Genomic DNA, 26365 nt, shown 5'->3' on the forward strand with positions numbered 1-26365 from the left:
CAGGCGTGAGCCACCGCGCCCGGCCTTTTACAATGTGATTTTGAAGCTGACACTGGCAGTGGGTCCTCAAAGTGCAGACTCACTGGGTATGGTGCTTCCCCCAACTCCCAGGGCCCCACTCCAAACCCATGGATTCAGAGCATTGCAGGAGAAGAGGATAAAACGAGCAATTAATTCCCTTTCCATATGTCAGGTTTTCCTCTTGACTTGAAAAGTCACAGAAAAATGCTTTAGACATCTGAATCTCAGGAAACAAACAATGGAAGATAAACATCCGCATTTACTGGGCCTGAAATGGGAAAATGAAAGATGTGGCAAGAAACTGACAAGGGCCCAAGAAGGGCGATGGGTATCGGAATTTTTTTCATCCCGGAATGAAATGCTGCTTGCTTTGTGTACCCAAGCTCTTTTTTTATTTTTATTTTTTTGAGACGGAGTCTCGCTCTGTTGCCCAGGCTGGAGTGCAGTGGCGCGATCTCGGGTCACTGGAAGCTCCGCCACCCGGGTTCACGCCATTCTCCCGCCTCCACTCCATTCGCCCGCATTAGGCTCCTGAGTACCTGTGACTACAGGCGCCTGCCACCATGCCCGGCTAATTTTTTTTTTATTTTGGGTAGAGACGGGGTTTTACCGTGTTAGCCAGGATGGTCTCAATCTCCTGACCTCGTGATCAGCCTGCCTCTGCCTCCCAAAGTGCTGGGATTACAGGCGTGAGCCACCGCGCCTGGCCTCCCCCAAGCTCTTAATGTTGCTTCCTGAGTTCTTGGTAACTGGGGAAATCTCCCTATTTTTTTATTTTTATTTTTTTTTGAGACGGAGTCTTGCTCTGTCGCCCAGGCTGGAGTGCAGTGGCGCAATCTCGGCTCACTGCAAGCCCCACCTCCCGGGTTCAACGCCATTATCCTGCGAGCCTCAGCCTCCCGAGTAGCTGGGACTACAGGCGTCCACCACTACGCCCGGCTAATTTTTTTGTGTTTTTAGTTGAGATGGGGTTTCACTGTATTAGCCAGGATGGTCTTGATCTCATGACCTTGTGATCTGCCTGCCTTGGCCTCCCAAAGGGTTGGGATTACAGGCGTGAGCCACAGCACGTTTTTTTCTGTTTTGAGAAAAAGTCTCGCTGTGTCACCCAGGCTGGAGTGCAGTGGCACAATTTTGGGTAACTGCAGCCTCCGCCTCCTGGGTACAAGTGATTCTCCTGCCTCAGCCTCCCGAGTAGCTGGGATTATAGGCGTGCGCCACCACACCTGGCTAACTTTTGTATTTTTAGTAGCGACAGGATTTTGCCATGTTGGCCAGGCTGGTCTTGAACTCCTGACCTAAAGTATCTGCCCACCAGCCTCCCACAGTGCTGAAATTATAGTCATGAGCCACCGTGCCCGGCCAAAAATCTCCAGTTTACCCTTCCTTTGTGAAATCTGTGAGTACCCAAATGCAGCCACTCATGTCAAACCCTAACAAAATCGACCCCAGAGCCCACGAGGAGGGGGTGGCCTCGCACTTGCGCTTGATAGGAGCTGCCACAAAGGCCTTTCCCAACCAGAACTTTGGGTTCAGCCACTTCTGTGAAGAGCCTCTTTGCTAGCAACAGCCAGCCCCACCGGTGAACAAAGTAGCATGAACACCAGAGTTCCACAAGGAAGAAAACAAAGCAGTCCATATTTAACATTTATTTTACTTTGCTGAGCAAGAATCATAGACAGCTACTACCACGGCTGCTTCGTTTGGACAAAAATAACGAGGAGGCATCCACGGGATTAGTTACACGGTATCAACTTACCACCACAGCAGAATCAACAGTGACTCGCTAATTAACAGAACCGTTTGCTAGAAAGCACTAATCTAGTTATATAAATACTGAAATAGGTCACATGCAAAACACTATAAACGTTTTGTGTGATGTACTTTTAGTTCTCCATAGTTTTGTTTGGTATAAAGGAAATATAATTTGGCTGTGACGTAGACTGTTGATGTAATTTTCAAGTTTTCCTGTATGGGGAAAGTTGCCCTGACTGTGGCCCTTTTCAAGGTGGAGCCTCCAACACCACGTTGGCAGATTCAGACTCCGTGAACAGTCTAAATGAGCAAGTCAGCTGAATGCCACTTTCAGATGGAAGGGAAATGAGATGGAAAACAACAAAAAAGGACTGCCAGGCGGAACAGTTTCCAACCGAGTTTTCGTTGAGTGAGGATCCAGCAGCCATCAAACTCAAACATAGGGGCCCGCAGGGAAACTGGAGGAAATACTTCAGAGACAGCAAAGCTGAAGGTTTCTGTGCTCTGAGGGATCCGAGAGTGGATGTCCCACTCCTGTATCCTCAGCCAGACACAGAACTAGCCAGATTCATTAGGGAAGCTCGGATGCTCTCATTCTATAAAGTAAGGCCCCCAGCAGGGCACGTACATACATTGGGAAAGAAGAAACCCCTTAGTACCATGTTGGTCAAAGGCAAGAGAGAGAATTCTATTTCCATCTGGAATGTCATTCTTGTTTACTTCTTCCAACAGTGAAATACTTCCAGGCCTTCGAAAGGCCATCCTTTGGACACATGTAAAAAGCTGTCTTGTTGGCCTGTTATTCCCACTGACCCGTCTGAGTGATCACCCAGGAGCGCGGCGGCAGCAAGCAGAGCTCACCGGATTTGGGACAAGGATTTTAAAGGCAGCTACAAAGCTGAGCTCTATTTGCTGATGATAGTCTCTGTTCAGCTGTTTAAAATGACTGTCTGACTCACCATGGTAATTTTTCACAAATTAAAGACACATTTTGGGTTGTGCAACAGTGTTCTCATCTTTCCAGGCAGGCAGATTATTTTAATGCTGTTATACAGGGAATTGGGACTCTCGGATTTTCTTTTTTAACCTTTTTATGCCTTTCAGTAGGGGAAGTTTCCTTGAAAGAGAGCTGCAAATCTCTTAAGTATCAACGTAAAGAAGCCGATGACCCAATTCGGGAGGTGGTTCAAGTGTTCTGTTCGTTTACAAAAGCACAGACCACGACCATGGACACACCCAGTGGAAGTAACCACACCTGGTGTGTTCCTAGAAGCTCACCTGTGACAGTTCAACAAGAACTTACTATTCCAGAAAAGTATTACACAAAGTTATTTTAAAAAATGTCTGTACAATCGTTAACACGGCCAAGCCAGGCCTTGGGTTTTGCCTCTTGGTGCCCGGCTGTGCTGGGAATGCCATGAAGACCAGCGGCTGGAAACTGACTTGGGCATGGAGAGGAGACTGAGGGAGAGGGAGGGGACAGCACGACTGAGCAAGGGCACAGTGCTGGCTGCCTCATGGGCTCCAGGCTCCTTCTGCCAGGATGAGGAAGAGGCCCCAGAGCAGCGTTACACAGGAAATTACCCTATTTGCTAATCCTTTGGAAAAACGTTTGTTTCTGGTCCACAAACAGAAAATCCAAACAGGATGGCAGCTCCTTGTGAGGGTGGAGGGGAGGGCACCAGATGCTGTGCGGCTGGAAATTCCAAGGTGCTCAGAACCAGGCGCCTGCACCTCTCCTTATGCCAGACCACAATCTTCAAAGAGGCCGGCAGCCACATTCTCGACGGGGAGGTGGACAAGGCCACCCTGGGAGTTGCTTTCAATCTGTCCTCACAAATCAACAACTCCCCGCCACCTCCAGGGCATTTTCTAATAGTGTTTGTTTTTGAGACGGAATCTTGCCCTGTTGCCCAGGCTGGAGTGCAATGGCACGATCTTGGCTCACTGCAACCTCCATCTCCGGGGTTCAAACAATTCTCCTGCCTCAGCCTCCTGAGTATCTGGGATTACAGGCACCCACCATCGCACCCAGCTAATTTTTGTATTTTTGGTAGAGACAGGGTTTCATCATGTTGGCCAGGCTGGTCTCGAACTCCTGGCCTTGTGATCCGCCAGCTGCTGCCTCCCAAAGTGCTGCGATTAGAGGCGTGAGCCACCGCACCCAGTCTTCTATTAGTTTTTGAGGAAAGCAGAAAAAAAGAAATGGAAATCCGGGGAAAGTCACGTGACAAAACATCTTCGCAGCGCAGTGAGCACACACCTGGCCTGTCCTCCACACACAGGTCAGCGGTTTTATAGAAGCGGCTGAAGCAGGTGTAGTAGCCCACGCCTATATTCTCGACACTACAGGAGGCTGAGTGGGAAGGATTGCTTGAGCCGAGGAGTTCAAGACCAGCCTGGGCAACAAAGCGAGAGCCCAGCTCAACAAAAAAATAGCCAGGCATGGTGGCACGTGCCTGTGGTTCCAGCCACATGGGAGGCTGAGGTGGGAGGATCATTTGAGCCCAGGAAGTCGAGGCTGCAGTGAGCCAAGATCATGCCACTGTACTCCAGCCTGGGTGACAGACAGAGCAAGACTGTCTCAAAAAAATAAAAAGGTTACTTGTGGGTTAAAAAGCCTCACTTCGGTCCATCATCATGGCAGACTTTTTTGAGTAGGTAGAAGTTAATGAGTCAGAATTATTGCTCTGTTTCTGAATGATTTTATCTTCAGGAGGGGCTATTTTTGTATTTCCCAGGTGAGAAGCCAAATGGAAAGCCAGTGAAGTGACCATGGGTGCCAAAGGCCTAAAGAGCAGGCAGGGAAATGAGACTCGGGACCACTGGAGCCCCATGCTGCCTCTGACAAGCCCTGGAGCTCTGGGTCTCAAAGGCTGGCTGGCAACAGGCTGCACCGGGCATGGGAATCCGCCAGCTGCGAGATTGGGGGTAAAGAGCTCAGACATGGTCAGAAGCCTCTGCCTAACACACGGCTCCAGTAGCCACTCCTCAGGCCTCCTGCGCCCTCGGGGGTGCGTGACACAGGAGGATGAGTTGAGCTGGCTGGTGGCCCCAGTGTGCCGTACTACTGTCCCTTGGGGAGAGTGGGACAGGGTGGGCGCCTGACACACACCACGCGCCCCAGAAACATTCAGTGTGGACGTTTCCTTTTTCAGTAAGGACGGCGCCCAGGTAAACGCCACGTAACCCAAACCATCAACACTGCAGCGTCCTGCCCAAGGCTCACGTGGGGAACCGGACAGGTGCTAGATGATGATAGGAACAGTGGGCTCTGAGGGAGGACAGACAGGCTCACCCCACGGGGACCTCAGAACAGCCTGCCTCATACTCAGAGTCCAAAAAAGAAAAGGAACGTACACATCTCCTCCCAAGTTAAACACGAGAGGTTTGTCCTCAACCTCAGGGCTGGAAACCCCCACAGGTAGGAGGGCAGGGTGCCCTGGGGTTGCGGGGAGCTCACGCAGCCCAGGGTGTGGAAGGGATAGGAGGGCAGGGTGTGGAAGAGGTAGGGGGCCTTCCTCTAAACAGAAGCGACTGAACGGCCTCCGTGGTCATAGCCCTTGAGTGCCGTGCAATGCTGCAGCTTGAGGCTTGCGATGCCTCTGGGATAGTCTGAGGATGCCCACAGCCCTGGGTCAGGTGGGGAGAAGTTCTGAGTGCCCACCGTGGCAGCAGGAGACCCTTCCTTCCAGGGCCCTCTGTCCCCTCCCTTCGGCCCTGCTCTGTGGCCTCATGCCCAGGGCCAGTCTGCCGCCGGTCCAGGGCCTCAGGGCCTTCGATGGCTGGTGTGGGAAGCCGAGGGCTCTCTTGGCTGTGGCAGGGAGCGGCTCTCGTTGGCACTGGACCCACCTCTGGCTCCCGGTGGACCCTGGGGTGTCGCCCAGAGAGGAAGTGGGCACCCCCAGCATGGGAGCCTCAGAGGCTGTTTTCACATTACACGGGGATGGGCTCGGCGGACACAGTCAGCTACTGGTCTGGTCTCTACTCCAGGAAGCTGATACCTGGAATCCCCAGTTTGAGTTTCTGCTGGTCTTCACCGACAAACCGAGAAAGCCGCAGGCAATGGCCAACTTAGCTCCCCATGTCCTGCACCCCAGCAGGGCCATGGAGGAGGGCGTCCCTGCCCATTTCTGGGGGATGCAGTGTCACGAGGACAGCAGCAGCTGGCAGCTTCCTGCTCTCAGGGATGCTGCCTGGGGTCCTGTGGAAGCAGCGGCTCCACTGTGTCGTCTGGGGCCCGGCCAGTGGCTGCAGCCAGGCTCTGCAGCGCCTCCTGCTGGTGTTGCCTGGCTTTGTTGTAGAGCAGGACCCCAACGGTCACCAGGGCTGTGCCAACGGCCGACAAGCTGGTGATCTTGTTGCCGAAAACGATTACGCTGAGCCAGATGGACAAGGCATGTTTCACGGTGCTGGCGACGCTGCGGAGGCAAGGGGAGGCAGCAGGGGCGCTCAGGGCTATGGTCTCCTCAGCCCGTGGCCAGCAGCTCGGCTGAGCCTGGGTCTGGAGGCTGGGTGGGGTTGGGGGACTCAGCGTCACGGTGACATCAGCCCTGCGGCCAGCAGCTCGGCTGACCCCGGGTCTGGAGGCCAGGATGGGGCGGGGGTGCTCAACGGGACCTCGGTGGTGGTGAGATCAGCCCAGGGGTTTGGGAGCTTTCAGCGGGGCTTGCCTGCTCCCTCGTCCCTTCTTTTTTGAGGGGTACTTTTCATTATTAAAAAAGGCAGAGGAGGAGAAACCTAAGTAACGGCCACGTCCTGTGATCTAGACGCAGGAATTCATGACATCCGCCTCATCAGCTTCATCCAATCGAGGTGGGTCTCACTATGTAGCCCAGGCTGGTCTTCAAATCCTGGGCTCAAGTGATCTTCCCACCTGGGCCTCCCACAGAGCTGGGATCATAGGCGTGAGCCACCACACCCAGATGAAATATTTTTAAGTAAATTACAGGTATCATGACATCTCACCCCTGAGTACTTCAGCCTGCTCTCTAAAGAACAAGAACATCACCGGGCGCAGCGGCTTAGCCTGGAATCCCAGCACTGTGGGAGGCTAGGCGTGGGGGCTCATGTCTGTAACCCCAGCACTGTGGGAGGCTGGGTGTGGGGGCTCATGCTTGTAACCCCAGCACTGTGGGAGGCTGGGCGTGGGGGCTCATGTGTATAACCCCAGCACTGTGGGAGGCCGGGCACGGGGGCTCAGCCTGTCATCCCAGCACTGTGGAGGCCGGGCGCCGTGGCTCACGCCTGTAATCCCAGCACTGTGGGAGGCCGAGGCGGGCGGATCGCCTGAGGTCAGGAGTTTGAGACCAGCCTGGCCAATATGGTGAACCCCGTCTCCACTAAAAATACAAAAATTAGCCGGGCATGGTGGCACACGCCTGTAATCCCAGCTACTTGGGAGGCTGAGGCAGGAGAATCACTTCAACCCGGGAGGCGGAGGTTGCAGTGAGCCGAGATCAAACCAGAGAAATCCAGCTCTGGGTGACAGAGCAAGACTCTGTTTCGGGAAAAATAAAATACATAGGCAGGGCGCGGTGGCTCACGCCTGTAATCCCAGCACTTTGGGAGGCTGAGGCGGGCAGATCACAAGGTCAGGAGATCGAGACCATCCTGGCTAACACGGTGAAACCCTGTCTCTACTAAAAAATACAAAAAAAAAAAATTAGCCGGGCGTGGTGGCAGTCGCCTGTAGTCCCAGCTACTCGGGAGGCGGAGGCAGGAGAATGGCGTGAACCCGGGAGGCGGAGCTTGCAGTGAGCCGAGACTGCGATACTGAACTCCAGCCTGGGTGAAAGAGTGAGACTCTGTCTCAAAAAAATAAATAAATAAAATAAAATACATAAACAAATAAATTGCAGCTTCATTCAATCTGCCCAGTTACAGAAGTGGAAAGAAGCTGAAGGATCCTCCCCGTTTCTAGAGCTGCACCGCACGGCACAGGAAGCAGTGGCCACAGGTGTCTGTTCAAGTTCAAACTGACAGCAATCAGCTTGAATTCCTAATCTGGTTCTTGTTATATTCTCCACATTTCAAGTGCTCAGAAGCTGTATGTGGCCAGTGGCTCCTGCACTGGACAGCCCAGAAGAGACCATTCCATTCCTGCAGACAAGACTAGTCGCAACGCCCGACTATTCTAGACAGAAAAGCACTCAATTTCAAAAACCTTCAAACGCAGAGACTTCTAGTGGAGATTTCCCTAAATACCTATTTCACACAGTTTACGGTTTATTTTACAGTTTCTCATTTGTTTTTCTGTTTTTTTTTTTTTGAGAAGGACTCTCGCTCCCATCCCCCAGGCTGGAGTGCAGTGGTGAGATCTCAACTCACTGTAACCTCCGGCTCCTGGATTCAAGTGATTCTCCTGCCTCAGCCTCCCGAGTAGCTGGGATTACAGGTGCCCAGCATCACACCCGGCTAATTTTTGTATTTTTAGTAGAGATGGGGTTTCACCATGTTAGCCAGGCTGGTCTTGAACTACTGACCTCAAGTGATCCACTTGCCTTGTCCTCTCAAGTGCTGGGATTACAGGCATGAGCCACTGGGCCCGGCCTATCGTTTGCATTTCAAACAGCATGGGTATAAAATAGCCTAGTAATTACACTGCATAGCCACACTCATCCCCGTGGAAGAGAATCACATGTGTCCCTTATAAAAATACCTAGATTTCTGGTCTCCTTTGTAAACAACCTGGACACACTCAACTCTTGGGAAGTTCCTCTGCTCACCTGAAAGTCACCGGGGAGATTTTCCCCATGAGGGCGTACGCCGTGACGCTCTGAAGGTGGAACAGGACTCCGTCTGTCAGAAGCAGCAGCACCACGTCCTGGTTGTAGCTGAAGCTCTTCCCACTCCTCCCGATCACTGGGACGTCCTATGTGGCAAACAAAAGGGTACTCTATCGGTTTCCATTTTCCATTTACTAATCATCCACCAAAAACGCCCAGCGCCACTCCTGCCCAGAAACTGGGTAAAGCTGCTGCCACTGAGGACAGCCCTGAAAATGCCTCGAGCGGACAGCTGGACTGTGCACTCATCCATTTTCTGTTTTTTTTGTTTGTTTGTTTTTATTATTTTTTGCACTAATTAATTTTCACCATGCAGATGCAAATGGACAACAAGCACATGAAAGAGGCTGAACGTCACCATCATCAGGAAAATGCAACAGAAACCCCAATGCGGGGCCGGGCATGGCCAGTCTGGCCAACACGGTGAAACCTCGTCTCTGCTAAAAACATAAAAACTAGCCAGGCGTGGTGGTGGGCGCCTGTAATCCCAGCTACTCGGGAGGCTGAGGCAGGACAATCACTTAAACCCGGGAGGCAGAGGTTGCAGTGAGCTGAGATCGCACCACTGTACCCCAGCCTGGGCAACAGAGTGAGATATCATCTCCAAAAAAAAAAAAAAAAATTAAATATAGAATTATTATATAATCCAGCACTTCCACTGCTGGGTATACACGCACAAGAACTGATGGCCCTGGCCGGCAACCACAACTTCCCTGCAGGGAGAATGGCCAAGTCAGTCAGCCTTGACAGCTAATGGATTAAAATCCAGAAAACCGCAATAAGAACTTGAAACTGCATCTCACACAGAGAACCCTCTGTGTGGGGGACTCTAGGGAAGTCTACAAATTGCAGGTCCCAGCTACTTGGGAAGCTGAGGCAGGAGAATAACTTGAGCCTGGTAGGCAGACTTTGCAGTGAGCAGAGATCACACCATTGCACTCCAGCCTGGGATACAGAGCGAGACTCTTTATAAAAATAAAAAAAAAAAGTTTTTCTAATAAAAAAAAGAAATTAAGCTAACCTAAAAGTCATCTCAAGTTGAATGATGAAGAATCAAAACAAAACAAACAAACAATAAACAAAATAAAAGTCTTCACACAGAAATCTGAGCTGCAAACCCCGAGTGGCTCCCAGGGCAACTCAGCTAAGCAGGACCCGCAGCGGAGCTGGGCCCAACCAGCCAGCACACGGCCTGGAAACGGAAGTCATTCTGCTCCTGAATCACCGGAGAAGGCAGCCCGGCAAGTAAGGACGGGACGCCTGTGTCTGAAACCCACCGTAAAGAAAACCCGGGCCGGGACGAGCATGGCCACCGCAGCGGCGCTGGTGTAGAACTGCAGCTCCGGGGCCCTGTGGGTGACAGAACACGCTGGGCCCCCCGTGTCGGGACAGGCCGAGTTCACACGCAGCTCCCTCACAGCAAGAACACCCAGGCACCCCAGCCCAGAAGACGTTCATTCTCTCTAGACAGGACTAGGGTGCTGCAGCTTCCCAGAAATGAAAACGCAAACGCACACCAGGCTGGCTGAGGGGCTCAAGGGAGTAGCTGAGAAACGGGCGGGTCCCTCCCGAGCTTAGACAGGGTACTTGTAAAGGCCACCCAAGCCAGACAGGAAGGGAGTCAGGCCTGTGGGGTGTTCTGACTCTTACAGTGAGCAGGAAGTCCTCTTCGTCTTATGACTTGGAGATTTCACTGACGAATAATACTTACGAGAACCTGTATTTGTCCCCGCTGAGCAGCTTTTTTGAAAAAACATTTTGCAAACTAGAATAAAGAAAAGAGGTTATGCATCAATACTAGTCCTCGGCACGGAACATCAGGGGGAGAAGGTGTCTGCGCTCACACGGAGCGATGGCGACAATGACCAGACCTCAGTGGTGCCCGCCACCACGCCTGGTTACTTTTTTTATTTTTAGTAGAGATAGGGTTTCACCGTGTTGGCCAGGCTGGTCTCCAACTCCTGACCTCAAGTGATCCACCCGCCTCAGCCTCCCAAAGTGCTGGGATTACAAGTGTGAGCCACCACGCCCAACAGATTTTTTTTTTTTTTTTGAGACAGAGTCTGGCTCTGTCGCCCAGGCTGGAGTGCAGTGGCGCAATCTCGGCTCACTGCAAGCTCCGCCTCCCAGGTTCACGCCACTCTCTTTCCTCGGCCTCCCCAGTAGCTGGGACTACAGGCGTCCGCCACTATGCCCGACTAATCTTTTGTATTTTTAGTAGAGACGGGGTTTCACCATGTTAGCCAGGATGGTCTCGATCTCCTGACCTCGTGATCCACCCGCCTTGGCCTCCCAAAGTGCTGGGATTACAGGCGTGAGCCACTGTGCCCAACATATTTTTATTTTTACTTCTGTATTATTCAAAATCTCACCACAAACCTGTTTTGATTATCAGTAATAATGATAAACTCTCAGACACCAGTGGTGGTGTCTTTTCCTTTCTTTCCTCAAAAGCAGGAAAAGCCTAGAAGCCGGTCATTCTCAAAGGGCAGGTTTTGCCGGGGCTGGAGTGTGGCCATTAACAGCACGGCAGGGAGGTGGACGCCCAATTCTGGGTGAATCTGAACGGCCCCCGAAGTGCAGCGTCCACCGCTCTTCTCTACCGAGTGACAAAGACGTAAATAACAGGGCCCTCTCCTCTGGGAGCCTGCCACGCGCTGTCCTCGCTGTGGGAGTCGGCCTCTCATCCTTCCTGCCATCGTGACACCAGGACACAGATGGCCACAAGGAAGCAGAGGATCCGCCCGACCTGGAGGCCGCGCAGCTCCCAAACAGGCAGAACCTGCCGCTGGGGGACTGTCCCTGCTCTGGCAGCCGCATGAAGACACACCGAGCGAGACACACTGCTGAGCGTATCTGCGTATTTCAGCATTTGTCAGCTAACCGTGTCTCCATGGTTAGCATTTTAAGTACCAAGACCGTCCATCCTGAAATTTCGGCTTATTTTTGAGAAACTTACCTGCCGGGGATACCTGTTGTTTTGCTCTTTAGGAAAGGGCAGCATTGGACGCACCTGCTTTGGCTCACGGGAGGAATTCTCAGCTCACCTGAGAATCTGCACACCCAGATGCAGGTGAGCACCGGGTCTCGTCCCCCTCACGCCCACCTTCTCTGTGACTCACCAGTCCATGATGTTGGTGGACAGTGCGGCCGAGAACCCCAGGACATTGAAGCTGATCTCAGTGGCCGTGCACAGCGCCAGCCCGCCCATGACTGGGATGAGGGAGAGGTTGACCAGCAGCCCTGGCGAGAGGACAGCCCCTGTGAGTGGCTGACCCGCCGGGCGGACGCTCCCTCCCGAGGGCCAGGCTGTTTCCATCCCCTCTTATGAAAGGAACGGATGCTTCCTTCAATTCAAAAACAATACTTGTCAGTTTCTTCACATTGTGAGATAAAGCAAATCAAAGTCCGTGTCTGCAAATAAGTCCCGTCCCCACGGCAAAGGTGGCGCCTTTCACTCTACATGAGATGCGTCCCCCAGAGACTGAGCCCCAGCCATGGGCAGGTGAGCCACAGAAACCTTCCTGATTCTGTGAACGCTCCTGTGAAACGGTGAGTGTGAAGGAGATGGTCCCCAGGGAACTGCAGAGAAAGAGGCCCTGTGGGCCGGGAGGGGGATGCCCACATTGAATTTATGCTTTTCTGTTTCCTTCTGAAATGTAACAAAAAACTTTTACGTGAAGGATTTTTAAAAAATCTATGGAACACCGCTCACACCTGTAATCCCAGCACTTTGGGAGGCTGAGGCAGGAGGATCACTTGAGCCCAGGGGTTCAAGAACAGGGCTGAGCAAAGGTGAGACCCCGCCTCTACAAACAATACAAAAATTAGCTGGGTGTGTGTCCCGGCTACTGGGGAGGCTGAGGTGGGAAGATCACCTGCACGGGGGAGGCCGAGGCTGCAGTGGGCTGTGACCATGCCACTGCGCTCCAGCCTGGACGATAGAGTGAGACCTTGTCTCAAAAGAAGAAAGAGAAACCTGAGACAAGTTAACGTGGGAAACCCACAGATACTGCCCAGTCGAGACCCTGGCGTAGCAGAGGGACCCGAGTCTGTGCGGGGAGGCTCCAGCCAGAGGGGCGTCCTCTCGTCTGCCGTCACCTGGTCTCGGCCTCTGCTGGAAACTCTGGTTGAATCACGGACAACATTTATGAAAATTGTAGAGAAAACTGGAGACTGTGAATGCCGTTTCACCCTTCAAGGAGGGCTTGCTGCTGCTGTTGACATGCAGCTGGGGTGCCATAGACGCCTATATCCAGCACCAGATTCCTATCTCAGTTGAAGGTCTGGCATCTGGGGGTCCCCATGGTGGGGCGCCCATTCCAGCTTGTGCCCCTCCAGCCCCAGGAGACTGCTCTGCTCAGAAACCATCAGCAAATGCACCGGGGAGGGTGGTGCCTTAAGACAGACAGAGTCACTTCTCTGGGCTGCCAGAGGCACCGGAAGCCGGGTGCCTCAGGCCCTGGCAGTTCCGTCACTCTCCAACGCCTCCCCCACAGACTTCTTTTTGCTAAATGGTATCAAGATTTTCTCATTGTTGTCAGCAAGAGAGTTGGTTTTCTAACATCTCATCGACCATGGCTGGAGGTCAAATCGATGTTTAAACTTGCTGGAAATAAACGGCTCCTTTCTTGCATGGCTCGATGCGCAATAAGGTTCCTCTGTGTCATTTTGTTTACGATTTTTAGGATTGCTTTTTAAAGCCGGACACGGCGGCTGATGGCTGTAATCCCAGCACTTTAGGAGGCCGAGGCAGGAGGATCACTTGAGATAAGGAGTTCAGGACCAGCATGGGCAACACAGCGAGACCCCATCTCTATAGAAAACACAAAAATGAGGCTGGGGGTGCTCATACACGCACTGAGGGTTGACCCTGGTGTTCTTGCCTTCTTAGATTCTTCTGGAGCTGGAGATGAACTCGGACCTCAAGGCCCAGCTCAGGGAGCTGAATATTACAGCAGTGAGGGAAACTGAAGTTGGTGGTGGTGAGAAAGTTATTATGGGCAGGTGCAGCAGCTCACGCCTGGAATCCCAGCACTGTGGGAGGCTGAGGCGGGCAGATCACGAGGTCAGGAGCTCAAGACCAGCATGGCCAACATGGTGAAACCCCATCTCTACTAAAAATACAAAAATTAGCTGGGTGTGGGGCCACATGCCTGTAATCCCAGCTACTCAGAGGAGGCCGAAGCAGGAGAATCACTTGAACCCGGGAGGCAGAGGCTGCAGTGAGCCAAGATTGCGCCACTGCACTCCAGCCTGGGCAACAAAGCGAGACTCCATCTCAAAAAAAAGAGGGCCGGCTGTGGTGGCTAACACCTGTAATCCCAGCACTTTGGGAGGCTGAGGCGTGCGGATCAACGAGGTCAGGAGATCGAGACCATCCTGGCTAACACGGTGAAACCCAGTCTCTACTAAAAATACAAAAAATTAGACGGACGCAGTGGTGGGCGCCTGTAGTCCCAGCTACTCAGGAGGCTGAAGCAGGAGAATGGCGAGAACCCGGGAGATGGAGCTTGCAGTGAGCCAAGATCGTGCCACTGCACTCCAGCCTGGGCGAGAGAGCAAGACTCCTCTCAAAAAAGAAAAAAAAAAAAAAGAAAAAAAAAAGGAAGTTATCATAATCTTTGTTCCTGTTCTGCCACTGAAATAATTCCAGAACATCCAAGTCTGGCTAGTACGTGAATTGGAGAAAAAGTTCACTGGTAAGTATGTCGTCTATTGCTTAGAGGAAAATTCTGCCTAAACCAACTCAAAAAAGGTGTACAAAAAATAAGCAAAAGCGTCCCAGGATCCACGCTCCGACAGCTGCGCACGTCGCAATCCTCGAGGACTCGGTCTTCCCAGGTGAAATTGTGGGCAGGAGAATCGGCGTGAAATGGACACAGCAGCTCACAAGGGTTCATTCGGACAAAGCCCAGCAGAATAACGTGGAACGCAAGGTCCAAACTTTTTCTGGTATCGATAAGCTCACAGCCAAGGCTGTTAATTCTGAATCCCCAGAGTTCCAAGTTTCAATTGTTAAGAAAAATGACTAACGTATATTCACAGTGAAAAAACAAAAAGACACACAAAATACAAAAATTAGCTGGGCATGGTGGCACATGCCTGAGGTCCCAGCTACCCAACAGGCTGAGGTGGGAGGATTGCCTAAGCCTGGGAGGCCGAGGTTGCAGTGAGTCGTGACCTCGCCACTGCACTGCAGCCTGGGCGACAGAGCAAGACCCTGTCTCAAAAACATAAAAAAAACAAAAAAAAAAAAACAAAAAAAAACCAGAGTTGACTTTTAGGCTTTGATTTTGTTATAATCACCTAAACGTGTGTGCGGGTCTCAAGTGCATGTGGGGCAAGCCCAACCCCATCCTGGACCCTCGGCCTCCTCCCGTCCCCAAAGGCAGACAGACACTTCCCTCGGCCTTAAGATCTTGTAGTTTCTTAAATAAGCGAACACGTGTGCACCCCCCGACTCCGTTCAAGACGCCGCGCTCTGTGGGCGCCTCTGCTCCTCGCTGGTTTTCATGCAGCCACACTGGGTACGCGACATGGGGCTGACATGTCGCTGGAAATCGCCTGTGAGTCATTAAGAGGTGGGAGAGGCAGGAGCCTGGGTTGCAGCTGAGGTCAGGGGCTGGGGCCCAGGACAGGCCTGTGGTGGCGGGTGCTGGAGAGGCTGTGGGGTGCTGGCACAGGAGGGCCCACGGACCAGGAGCCACGGCCGCCTGTGTGGTGCTGGCCGAAGGCGGCCCCCACCCGTCCTCTTCGGATCAGTGATTGGCACCTGCAGTAATCTTGCTTGCCAGGAATCTGCCCAGCCCCCACCTGTCTCCCCACCCAGTTAGGGCCACAGACACAACCCTGCCCTGACCTCCGCATGCCAGTGTGAGAATACCTGGCAGACGCCAGGCTCCAAGACACCCCCGCACATGTGACCGTGAGAGAAGTGAAGGCACTGCCAGTGTGGGCACCACTCTGAGTGGTCCTCGCGGCAGAGCCCCATGGCAGGCAGCAGAGACGGGCACCACGGATGGAGGCCTGGGATGGTGGGGCGCAGGCGGAGGGGCGGGGCCCGGGGGCCTCACCTGTGTACTCCCCCAGAATCATCCGAGACATGATCACCGTGAAGATGGGGGCGGAGCTCTTCACCGTCTCAGCAAACGAAACCGCCACATTTTTCAGGCTGACCAAACCCAAAACCACAGTTGCAAACCTAAAAATGAGCCAAAAGCACCATCACCTTAGAACGAGTCTGTCTGCCTGCACCCACCGGGCAGGCTCTCCAAGGGGCTCGCTCGCTCGGTTGGCACGTCGGCCCCTCTCCGCCCACCTCCTCATCACCAACATGGTGCCTGGACCCGCTTCTGTGACGCTTTAGGTCGAGCCCCCAGGAAACGGCACTGCGTCCAATGGGAAGTGACTTCTGCCACCCCTTGAAAACGTCCCAGAGACAAGGAGGCACCCTGTCCTGAGACCACCAGCCCGGAAAGAAGCTGACTGAACACACGTGGCAGTGAGAGCCACGAAGCCACATTCATTTGGTGTCCTGAAATCTGGACAGCCCTGGTGCTTTTATAAAGTCTGCACTGAAAACTCACCAGCCAGCAGAGTCCCCGCTCTAGTAACGAGAGGGACTTTACATTTAAAGAAAAAGAGACACTCAACCAAAACCAGGAGATTCTTTACCTCATCAGACCCACAAACAGCATCGTCATAAGGAAGTTGGGTGGGTAGGAAAGCCGGGCCTTGTGCTGATACAAACAGCAAGGAACGAGGGTTTTCACACACCCGATAACCGTGGTGGACAGCATCTGCACCGCACCTGCGGGAGGGAGGGGGCCGAAGACAAGAGGGAGAATCACCCCTCCCATGCCTGCAGTGGGCTCCACCCCCGGCCTCCCATCCTGACCTGGGCTCCCCCGGCCCTCCCGGGTGGTTGCTGGCTGCTCCCTGTGGGGTGGCAGGTGGCCGGCTTCCACCCTGCCCGAGCCGCCGCCTACCTAGCATGCTGGGCTCGCCTCCCAGCAGGGACAGGATGTACTTGTTGAGGAAGAGCGTGCAGAAGCTGAAGAAGAACCACAGCGTGAGGTAGAGCAGCGCCCGCGAGCTCCACACACCCAAGTCTGACTCGATGACCGTGGTCTCCGTGATGGTGACGGTCAGTACGTTCTCATCTGTGCCGCCGTCGCTCTTGGCAAAAACAATCTTCTCACTTCGGTGACCAAACAGAGAGCCCCAGCTGAGAGGCGACCTGCCTTTCGGCTTCTCTTCGGAGCCAGGAACCAGCTCTTCCAGTGCTGGGGTTTTCACCGAGGACGACATGCTGAAGCCACAGCCACGAACGATTTTACCTCCAGGCTGGGCAGCATGGGTCACCGTGACCGCCCGGGGGTGGGGCCGCAGCAGGGACTCCGGGCGCCAGGAACGAGGCCACCAGGGCCTCTCCCAGGCAAAGCGCAGAAGCAGACGCTAAAATATTAAGAAAAGGAAACACATCACCCGTTTTGAACATTTAATGTCCTCAAAGGTTTCAACCACCAATTTAAAATCACTTTGAAAATGCAATTGGGCCGGGCACGGTGGCTCACACCTGTAATCCCAGCACTTTGGGAGGCCGAGGCAGGTGGATCACCTTAGGTCAGGAGTTCGAGACCACCCTGGCCAACATGACGAAACCCCGTCTCTACTAAAAATATAAAAACTAGCAGGGCATGGTGGCCGGCGCCTGTAATCCCAGCTACTCGGGAGGCTGAGGCAGAAGAATTGCTTGAACCCAGGAGACGGAGGTTGCAGTGAGCCGACATGATACCACTGCACTCCAGCCTCAGTGACAGAGTGAGACTCTGTCTCAAGAAAAGAAAAAAAGAAAATGCAATCGTTCACTGTCCAAAGATTTTTAGCAATTGAATCCCGTTTTTCTCTGCGCGTGTTGGCGGATCCTTGCTCTTGAGAGACGGTCTCCTGGCACACTTGACTGTCGTCCTGGCAGACCTGGGGCTGTGGGTCCTTCACGCCCTGCCTGGCAGCTGCACCTTCTCGATGGGCTTTGTGGCTGCCGCTGTCGGGTGCCCAGGACTAATTCCATGCTACTTTCTTTTTCCTTTTTTTTTTTTTTTTTGAGACGGAGTATTGCTCTGTCGCCCAGGCTGAAGTGCAGAGGCGTGATCTGGGCTCACTGCAAGCTCCGCCTCCCGGGTTCTCGCCATTCTCCTGCCTCAGGCTCCCGAGTAGCTGGGACGACAGGCGTCCGCCACCACGTCCGGCTAATTTTTTGTAATTTTTTTTTTTTTAGTAGAGACGGGTTTTCACCGTGTTAGCCAGGATGGTCTCGATCTCCTGACCTCGTGAACCGCCCACCTCGGCCTCCTAAAGTTCCATGCTACTTTCTAGACAGACTCCGTGGTATAAAACCACACTTACACCCGCTTCACGCTCAGGCGACTGTGGCTTCGGGGCGAGACACCCCCTCCCTTCCCACGAGCTCCAGGAAGGTCAGAACAGCCGTTTCCTCCTGAGGTCCAGTGGGAATCATCCCCCCAGCTGGGGCTTTGCACAGACGCCACTGTGACTCCGCAGCACCGAGACCCCACCTCCCCCAGGTCTCAATCCCAGCGCTCAGGCAGCCCGATTTCCTGTTTCTCACACCTGGGTTTCTCTTCCTGCTTCGGGGGAGGCTGTGCATCTGAAGGGGCGCCCATCCTGTCTCACCAAGGCGCTCTGGGAGCGTGTGGTGCCGGCCGTGCTGCCCGACCCAGTACCCCTCCTCGTCTCACTTCTCCCCCGGGAAACTGGGGTTCCCACCTCATTCGTGACCTCCTTCTGTGTTTATGTTTATGCACTTGCGTGCGTGCCATATGTATACATAAATATTCTGTGTTCACACTGAGGGACGCACGCCACCCCCTCCCCCATGAAGACCTCGCCTGGGTGCTCAGGCCGGCCTCTCCCCCAGCTCACCTGCCCAGCAGTGCTCAGAGGTGCCTGAAACTTGGCCTCCCCATACCCGGGAACAGGCGCTTCTGCCCTCTCCCCAGTGGCGGCAATGCCAGGGCCTCTGCAGCCTTCCTCTCTCTCCTCCCCTCCCCCTGCTGTGTGTGTCTGTGCACCCAGGTCTCCCCGTCTGCCCATCACACCGCCAGCTCAGTGCCACCCAGACGCTCCCAGGCCACCCATGTGTGCCCTGACCCCTCGGTGCACCAGGACAGCTGCCTCCAAGGGCACCCCAGGCCTCAGTGAGGAGAAGGCCGACCCCTCCACCAGTTCCCACAGCCTCGGAATAACAAAGGACTCATCCACTCCTCGGGCCACTGACAGTGCCAGATCTCCACAAAGACACCATTCCCTTCTTCCTGTTCAGCAGCACAGTCCCACTGCTTAGCCTGGGGTGACAACAAGCTGGGAGCTAAACCTCCATGGGCTGCAGCCTCCCTGGAGCTAGGACTGGCTGGGCCCTGAGCCAGGGAGCTAGGAGACTTTGTGCCAGTTTCCCGGACTGATGGGCCCTGGCTGGGGGTGGAGCAGCTACCTGGCTTTCCTGAGGTGAAAATCCAACAACAAAGGGTGCGGCAGAGCAAAAGGACAGAGCACTCGCGACAGGGCTCCGCAAGGCAGGGGTGGAGCTCATGGCAGGCGTGGATCTCACTCCCCACCTCACTAGGCCTCACGGCCCTTGACCTCTCCCTCCCACCTCGAAGGCTGCCCCCTGGCTGGGGACGCTGTCACAGCACCCGCTACACAGGCTCTGCCACCACCAGCGAGTTTCTAAAACCAAATTCATTTACATGGCAAGGAGGCCACGCTCAAGAAACCCCTCCAGGAGCAAGGAACAGCACGTGGGCTCGGGCGTGTGCAGACGACGCCAGTCACGTCCCACCTGACGTCGAGGCAAACCTGGAATTCAAAAGGCAAGCATCTCCCTCTTGCCAGAACAGTCTGTCCACTTAGCTTCCCTCTGAGAAACTCACAGCATCCCAGGCAAAACTGCTCCCCGCAATGAGGACCCCCATTCCCCTTCTCTGCTGACACTGTGCTCCAAGAAGCCTGTGGGACCCACACAAGCAGCCCAGTCCCCACCCTAATGTTTGCTCACAATTAGTGGAAACAAAAAAACAGAAATCACACTTCACTGACGCTGCCGTTCTCTGTACATCAAGAACTTAAGGTTCTGGGCCAGGCGCCGTGGCTCACACCTGGAATCCCAGCACTTTGGGAGGCCAAGGTGGGCGGATCACCTGAGCTCAGGAGTTCATGACCAGCCTGGCAAACACAGCAAAACCCCGTCTCTACTAAAAGTACAAAAAAAAAATCAGCCGGGTGTGGTGGCTGGCACCTGTAATCCCAGCTACTCGGGAGGCTGAGGCAGGAGAATCACTTGAACCTGGAAGGCAGAGCTTGCAGTGAGCTGAGATCGCGCCATTGCACCCCAGCCTGAGCAACAGAGCGAGACTCCCGTCAAAAAAAAAAAAAAAAAAAATGCTGGGCGCGATGGCTCACACCTGTAATCCCAGCACTTTGGGAGGCCGAGGAGGGTGGATCATGAGGTCAGGAGTTCAAGACCAGCCTGACCAACGTGGAGAAACCCCGTCTCTACTAAAAATACAAAATTAGCCGGGCGTAGTGGATGCCTGTAATCCCAGCTACTCAGGAGGCTGAGGCAGGAGAATCGCTTGAACCCGGGAGGCGGAGGTTGCGGTGAGCCGAGATCACACCGTTGTACTCCAGCCTGGGCAACAAGAGTGAAACTCCGTCTCAAAAAAAAAAAATTTTTTTTTAATGTAGCCGGGCATGGTGGTGCATGTCTGTAGTCCTAACTACTTAGGAGGCTGGGGTGGGAGGATTGCTTGAACAAGAGAGGTCAAGGCTGCAGTGAGCCGTGATTGTGCCACTGAACTCCAGCCTGGGCAACAGAGCAAGACCCTGACTCTAAAAATTAAAAAAAAGTTAAAAAAAATTAAAAGAGCTTAAACAAGAAGCCGACTGCAAACAAAGGCCTCTCCATGCAGCTGCGCTGGGACGCGGGTTCTCTGTCCGATCACTGCACAGCAGCCCACTGGACAAATGGACCCATTCTGGCAAGAAGCACTTGGGACGGGCTACTAGGAGCATCCTCGTCTGTGTCTACGTGCAGGAGTGGAACTGCCCAGCCCTGGGACACGCATGCTGAGCCCCAGCCAACGTCACACCGACCTGTGCTCCCACAGCCCTGCCCCGGCTCTGTGTGGGTGACTGTCCCGTCCCTGCAGTTGAGCCCACGTGGTCCCGGGGTCTCCATTCCCCTCCCAATCTGCAGGACTTCACTACCATGAACCGTCCTCACCCCCAGCATCCCTGTCCCCACAGCTCCAAGGCCGCAGGAGGAGGCGATATCTAATCTTCCCCCCACGTAAACACCTGTCCCTGCGTAAATGCCTGAGGCTGGCTGCTTATTCTTTTTTTTTTTTTTTTAGATGGAATCTCGATCTGTCGCCCAGGCTGGAGTTTAGTGGCATAATCTCGGCTCACTGCAACCTCCACCTCCCAGGTTCAAGGGATTCTCCTGCCTCAGCCTCCCGAGTAACTGGGATTACAGGCGCCTGCCACCACGCCCAGCCGCTTCTTATTCAAACACTGGGAGCTCCACGTCAGACCAGTGAAGTCAGAGAATCCTGAAGTCCAAGTTCTCAGCTCCTCAGCCAACTCAAGGGCAGCCAGGCAGGAGCCACCCCTGCAGAGGCACCCACGGTTCGTTCCTGTCACTGACTGTTCCCAGGCTGGAAATTCCTGACGGTACAAATGCAAACAGATTCCGGCCTGAAACTGTCTAGTGAGACCTTTCTTTCCTTTTCCTTTTCTTTTTTTCGAGATAGAGTCTCGCTCTGTCAGCCAGACTGGAGTGCAATGGCATGATCTTGGCTCACTGCAAGCTCTGCCTCCTGGGTTCACACCATTCTCCTGCCTCAGCCTCTGAAGTAGCTGGGACTACAGGCGCCCGCCACCACGCCTGGCTAATTTTGTTTTTTTTTGTATTTTTTTAGTAGAGACAGGGTTTCACCATGTTACCCAGGATGGTCTCGATCTCCTGACCTCGTGATCCACCCACCTAGGCCTCCCAAAGTGCTGGGACTACAGGCGTGAGCCACCGCGCCCGGCCTCTTTTCTTTTCTTTTTTGAGAGGGACTCTTACTCTGTCGCCCAGGCTAGAGTGCAGTGGCACAATCTCAGCTCACCGTAGCCCCCACTTCTTGGATTCAAGGGATTCGCATGCCTCAGCCTCTCGGGCAGCTGGAATTATAGGCATGCGCCACCAAGCCTGGCTAATTTTTGTACTTTTAGAAGAGATAGGATTTAGGCCGGGCGTGGTGGCTCACGCCTGTAATCCCAGCACTTTGGGAGGCTGAGGCAGAGGGATCCCGAGGTCAGGAGATGGAGACTATCCTGACTAACACTGTGAAATTCTGTCTCTACTAAAAATACAAAAAATTAGCCAGGCGTGGTGGCGGGCGCCTGTAGTCCCAGCTACTCAGGAGGCTGAGGCAGGAGAACGGTGTGAACCCGGGAGGTGGAGCTTGCAGCGAGCCGAGATCGCGCCACTGCACTCACTCCAGCCTGGGCGACAGAGCAACACTCTGTCTCAAAAAAAAAAAAAAAAAAAAAAAAAAAAAAAAAAAAAAAAAAAAAAAAAAAAGAAGAGACAGGGTTTCACCATGTTGCCCAGGTTGGTCTCAATCTCCTGACCTCATGTGATTCGCCCGCCTTGGCCTCCCATAGAACTGGGATTACAGGCATGAGTGACCGTGCCCGGCTGGGTGCAACCTTTCAGAGGTCATGCGGGTGACAGGGAGCGACAAAAAACAAGAAAATAAAGCACTTCGCCGAGGCTGACTTGGGTCACAGAGGGCCAAACGGTCCCGGGAAAATGGGTGGGCTCTTCACACCTTCTCATAGAAGTCTTGGAGGTGGGTGTTTAATGAGCATTTTTTGTTAGTAGCAAAACAAGACAAAGCAAACACCAAAAGAATGCCAACCTACGTGCCTGTCAACAGTAGAAACAAACACCTTATTGATGGAGCTGAAGCTACGATGGAAATGAGGGGCTCAGTCCCAGTGTCAAAGGGACGGACCCCAAGCCCAAACCCACCGGAGCGGGGGAAGACTGAGGGACGAATCACAGACAGAAACGCACGACTCGGCTCCACCATGCGCTGTCAGCTGTGCGGGAAGCACCACGTGTAGAAATAAAAGCATGAAAGTGCCTGAAAGAGGGAATTCCAGCACGTGCTCCTCTCATCTCGGGGACGGGCCCCAGGGGAAAGCAACAGCACCTTCAGGTGCTGGAACCCAGCTGAGCAGCCAGGGGGTTCCGGGGTCCTCCCTAAGTAGTTGTGAGAGATCACAGCCCGGGGTCCTTCCTAAGTAGTTCCGAGAGTTCAAGGTTTACATGGGGGAGGCCGGGCTTGGTGGCTCACGCCTGTAATCCCAGCACTTTGGAGGCAGGTGGATCACTTGAGGTCAGGAGTTCGAGACCAATCTGGCCAACAAGGTGAAACCCCGTCTCTACTAAAAATATAAAAATTAGCCAGGTGTGGTTGTGGGCACCTGTAATCCCACCTACTCAAGAGGTTGAGGCAGGAGAATTGCTTGAACCCTGGAGGTGGAAATCGCAGTGAGCCGACATCGAGACATTGCACTCCAGCCTGGGGGACAGAGCGAGACTCTGTCTCCAAAAACAAACAAATAAATAAACAAGCAAATAAATAAAGTCCTGTGAGGAATGCACAGTTTCTCTGCACTCCCACACAACACTTCCCACAGGAGATGCAGGTTATTTCCACGTTGAGCAATTCTCCACAGACACTAGCTGTGTGTCCTCTGGTTCAATTCCCTCCCGAAGCCGTCCCCCTGGGGAGAGTGCCAGGTCCCCTGCGGCGAGGGCTGGATCCCACAAGACTGCCCCCTCCTCAGATGCTGGTCAGCCTGTGGGCCGTGCTTCTGACCGGCAGCTATACATCGGGGTTCCCACGACACCCTCCTGAGGATCAATGAGTTTGACAGGACTGCCCTACAGAACTGCAGAAAGCACTTACGTTAAAAGAAAACAGAGGAGCAGCCGGCCGCAGAGACGCGCAGGCAAGGCCTGGGCAGGTGCTGGGTTTCAGGCCCTCTCTGGGCGCCACCCCCTGCCCCCAGCACCACAATCCGAAGACCATCCCACTCTTTCATCTCTCATTCACGGGTTTTTACAGCGTTTAATCTCCACCTTCGCTCGCTGCGTCCCTGAGGTTGGCGGGTGGGGCTCAAAGCTCCCAGCCTCCAATCCTGGGGTCACCTGGTGTTCTGGCGACCAGTCCCCCCTACCCCCGCTCTCCAGGGCCCCACCCCCTGCCTCATCAGCATAAGCTCAGGTGTGATCAGCATAAGCTCCGGGGTGATCTGAACCACTCCTGTCACTCAGGAAATTCCAAGGCTTCGAGGAGCTTCTGTGCCAGGAACCAGGAACAAAGACCAAACACATTTCATATCAGAGCACAAGTGCAAAACATCATGGTTGGAAACAGGGTCTCAGAGTCCTCCAGGTGCAGGTGCCTGTTCAGACCAGAGACCACAAAGTTGTAAGTCAAACCTTCATGTTTGGCCAGCGGCGGTGGCCCACACCTAGAACCCCAGTACTTTGGAAGGCCGAGGAGGGAGGATCGCTTGCTGTCCACTCACGTCTGGGGCACAGCCCAGGAGACCCGTGGGCCGCAGGGTAGACACTCAGCAGTCGTGAGACGCTTGCCCCAGTGCACTGTCTTTTCAAGGCCACTGACATCTCCACAGACAGCCCCCAGCCCGTCCTTTGGCTCTTAATGTGCCTCATCCACCTCCGCGTGCTGACACCCACATCAGTGACATTTGGGCTAAGCCGCCTAATGCAGAGTGGCTATAAGCGCGCTGAGCCGCTCGTGAAATTCAGACAACCCCACCGGAAGTGAGAGAGAGGACGGCTGTGAGCTCAGGGCAGCGTTTCTGCTGAAGGCGTTTGCTTTCCCACCATCATAAAGTCAGAAAATCACAACTCAGACCATGGTAAGTGGGGACCACCCACAACCCAAGTGGGCCTTGGAAATTAAGAATAGGAGGCCGGGCGCGGGGGCTCACGCCTGTCATCCCAGGAGGCTGGGCACAGTGGCTCACGCCTGTCATCCCAGCACTGTGGGAGGCCGAGGCGGGTGGATCACAAGGTCAGGAGATTGAGACCATCCTGGCCTACATGGTGAAACCCCGTCTCCACTAAAAATACAAAAATTAGCTGGGCGTGGTGGTGGGTGCCTGCAGTCCCAGCTACTTGGCAGGCTGAGGCAGAAGAATGGCGTGAACCTGGGAGACAGAGCTTGCAGTGAGCCGAGATCGCGCCATTGCACTCCAGCCTGGGCAACAGAGCGAGACTCCATCTCAAAAAAAAAAAAAAAAAAAAAAAAACAGGACAGCCAGCGGGTGCAGTGGTTCCCACCTGTAATCCCAGCACTTTGGGAGCCCAAGGCGGGCAGATCACCTGAGGTTGGGAGTTCGAGACCAGCCTGATCAACATGAAGAAACCCTGTCTCTACTAAAAAAATACAAAATTAGCCGGGCGTGGTGGCGCATGCCTGTAGTCCCAGCTACTTGGGAGGCTTAGGCAGGAGAATCACTTGAACCTGGGAGGTGGAGGTTGCAGTGAGCCAAGATTGCGCCATTGCACTCCAGCCTGGGCAACAAGAGCAAAAACTCCGTCTCAAAAAAAAAAAAAAAAGTTGGAGCATTTTTTGCCCAGGTGTGTTGGTTCATGCTTGTAATCCTAGCACTTTGGGAGACCGAGGCAGGAGGATTGCTTGAGCCCAGGAGTTCAATACCAGCCTGGGTAATATGACGAAACCTCATCTCTACCAAAAAAGTACAAAAATTAGGCCTGGGCACGGTGGTGTGCGCCTGTGTGCCCAGCTGAGGTGGGGGGACTGCTTGAGTCTGGGAGGATGAGCCTGCAGTGACCGTGATCTCACCACTGCACTCCAGCCTGGGCGACACAGTGAAACGTTTTCTCAGAAAAAAAAAAAAAAAAAAGAAAAGGAAAAAGAAATACAGGAAGGATATACCCAAGAATAAGGAGACTCTTCAGTGACAGGGCAGGCAGGAGTGCAGTGCAGTGAGGTGGGGGCGGCTCCAGGTCTGACTTTCAGAACCATGAAAATATGTCGCTTGCTTAAAAAGCAAAAATAATTAAATCAACAAGGGTAGGGGAAAAGGGTCTCTGAAATGGAACACGAACACGAATGCATGAACCACACCACAGATCAAACAAACGACACAATCACCCTGAGGGGAGAAGCAGAACAAGCCCTGGGAACTCGGGTGCATGGACGCTGGATGTGGGTACGCAGGTGATGGACACAAGGGCTCCAGACACACAAGTAGCTCCAGACACAGGAGCTCCAAACAAATACCGAGTTCTAAACATGCTTTTTTCCCTTTTCTTTTCTTGAGACGGAGTCTCGCTCTGTCGCCCAGGCTGGAGTGCAATGGCGCGATCTCAGCTCACTGCAACCTCTACCTCCCGGGTTCAAGTGATTCTCCTGCCTCAGCCTCCTGAGTAGCTGGGATTACAGGCACCCGCCACCACGCCCAGTGAATTTTTGTATTTTCATTTCATTTTTAGATGGAGTTTCACTCTTGTTGCCCAGGCTGGAGTGCAATGGCACGATCTTGGCTCACCACAACCTTCGCCTCCCAGGTTCAAGCGATTCTCCTGCCTCAGCCTCCCGGGTAGTGGGGATTACATGCACGTGCCACCAAACCCTGCTGATTTTGTATTTTTAGTA

The 26365-nt window shown here is 53.7% G+C and overlaps 1 protein-coding gene and 1 pseudogene across 2 annotated transcripts in view, besides 4 other annotated features; one reads left to right on the plus strand and one right to left on the minus strand.

Moving 5' to 3' along the window:
• Nucleotides 1656-26365, minus strand: part of SLC35E2B (solute carrier family 35 member E2B) — a 31318-nt gene continuing 6608 nt past the window's right edge. For both annotated transcript variants that reach the window (NM_001110781.3, NM_001290264.2), the window contains 8 exons: nucleotides 16556-17024; nucleotides 16242-16377; nucleotides 15641-15768; nucleotides 11687-11807; nucleotides 10276-10329; nucleotides 9842-9914; nucleotides 8505-8650; nucleotides 1656-6197 (listed from right to left, as the gene is read on the minus strand). In NM_001110781.3, the coding sequence (NP_001104251.1) occupies nucleotides 5960-6197; nucleotides 8505-8650; nucleotides 9842-9914; nucleotides 10276-10329; nucleotides 11687-11807; nucleotides 15641-15768; nucleotides 16242-16377; nucleotides 16556-16877 (1218 nt within the window). In that variant the 5' untranslated portion in view covers nucleotides 16878-17024 and the 3' untranslated portion in view covers nucleotides 1656-5959. The remainder of the gene's footprint in view (nucleotides 6198-8504; nucleotides 8651-9841; nucleotides 9915-10275; nucleotides 10330-11686; nucleotides 11808-15640; nucleotides 15769-16241; nucleotides 16378-16555; nucleotides 17025-26365) is intronic.
• Nucleotides 6043-6122: an enhancer, noted in NCBI's record as "active region_30". NCBI's record gives its function as "activates an Ori minimal core promoter by ATAC-STARR-seq in GM12878 lymphoblastoid cells {active_cell/tissue: GM12878}" and the evidence as "EXISTENCE:reporter gene assay evidence [ECO:0000049][PMID:35858748]".
• Nucleotides 9950-10450: an enhancer, noted in NCBI's record as "H3K4me1 hESC enhancer chr1:1601211-1601711 (GRCh37/hg19 assembly coordinates)". NCBI's record gives its function as "activates a minimal SCP1, AML or CMV promoter by ChIP-STARR-seq in primed H9 embryonic stem cells {active_cell/tissue: H9 hESC(primed)}" and the evidence as "EXISTENCE:reporter gene assay evidence [ECO:0000049][PMID:30033119]".
• LOC100288379 (ribosomal protein S7 pseudogene) lies at nucleotides 13461-14613 on the plus strand (annotated as a pseudogene).
• Nucleotides 18183-18232: an enhancer, noted in NCBI's record as "active region_31". NCBI's record gives its function as "activates an Ori minimal core promoter by ATAC-STARR-seq in GM12878 lymphoblastoid cells {active_cell/tissue: GM12878}" and the evidence as "EXISTENCE:reporter gene assay evidence [ECO:0000049][PMID:35858748]".
• Nucleotides 20488-20782: a silencer, noted in NCBI's record as "tiled region #10763; HepG2 Repressive DNase matched - State 7:EnhWF, and K562 Repressive non-DNase unmatched - State 8:EnhW". NCBI's record gives its function as "represses a minimal TATA promoter and a strong SV40 promoter by Sharpr-MPRA in HepG2 and K562 cells {active_cell/tissue: HepG2 | K562}" and the evidence as "EXISTENCE:reporter gene assay evidence [ECO:0000049][PMID:27701403]".

This window comes from Homo sapiens, chromosome 1 (genome assembly GCF_000001405.40).
Source record: "Homo sapiens chromosome 1, GRCh38.p14 Primary Assembly".
Taxonomy (NCBI): domain Eukaryota; kingdom Metazoa; phylum Chordata; class Mammalia; order Primates; family Hominidae; genus Homo; species Homo sapiens.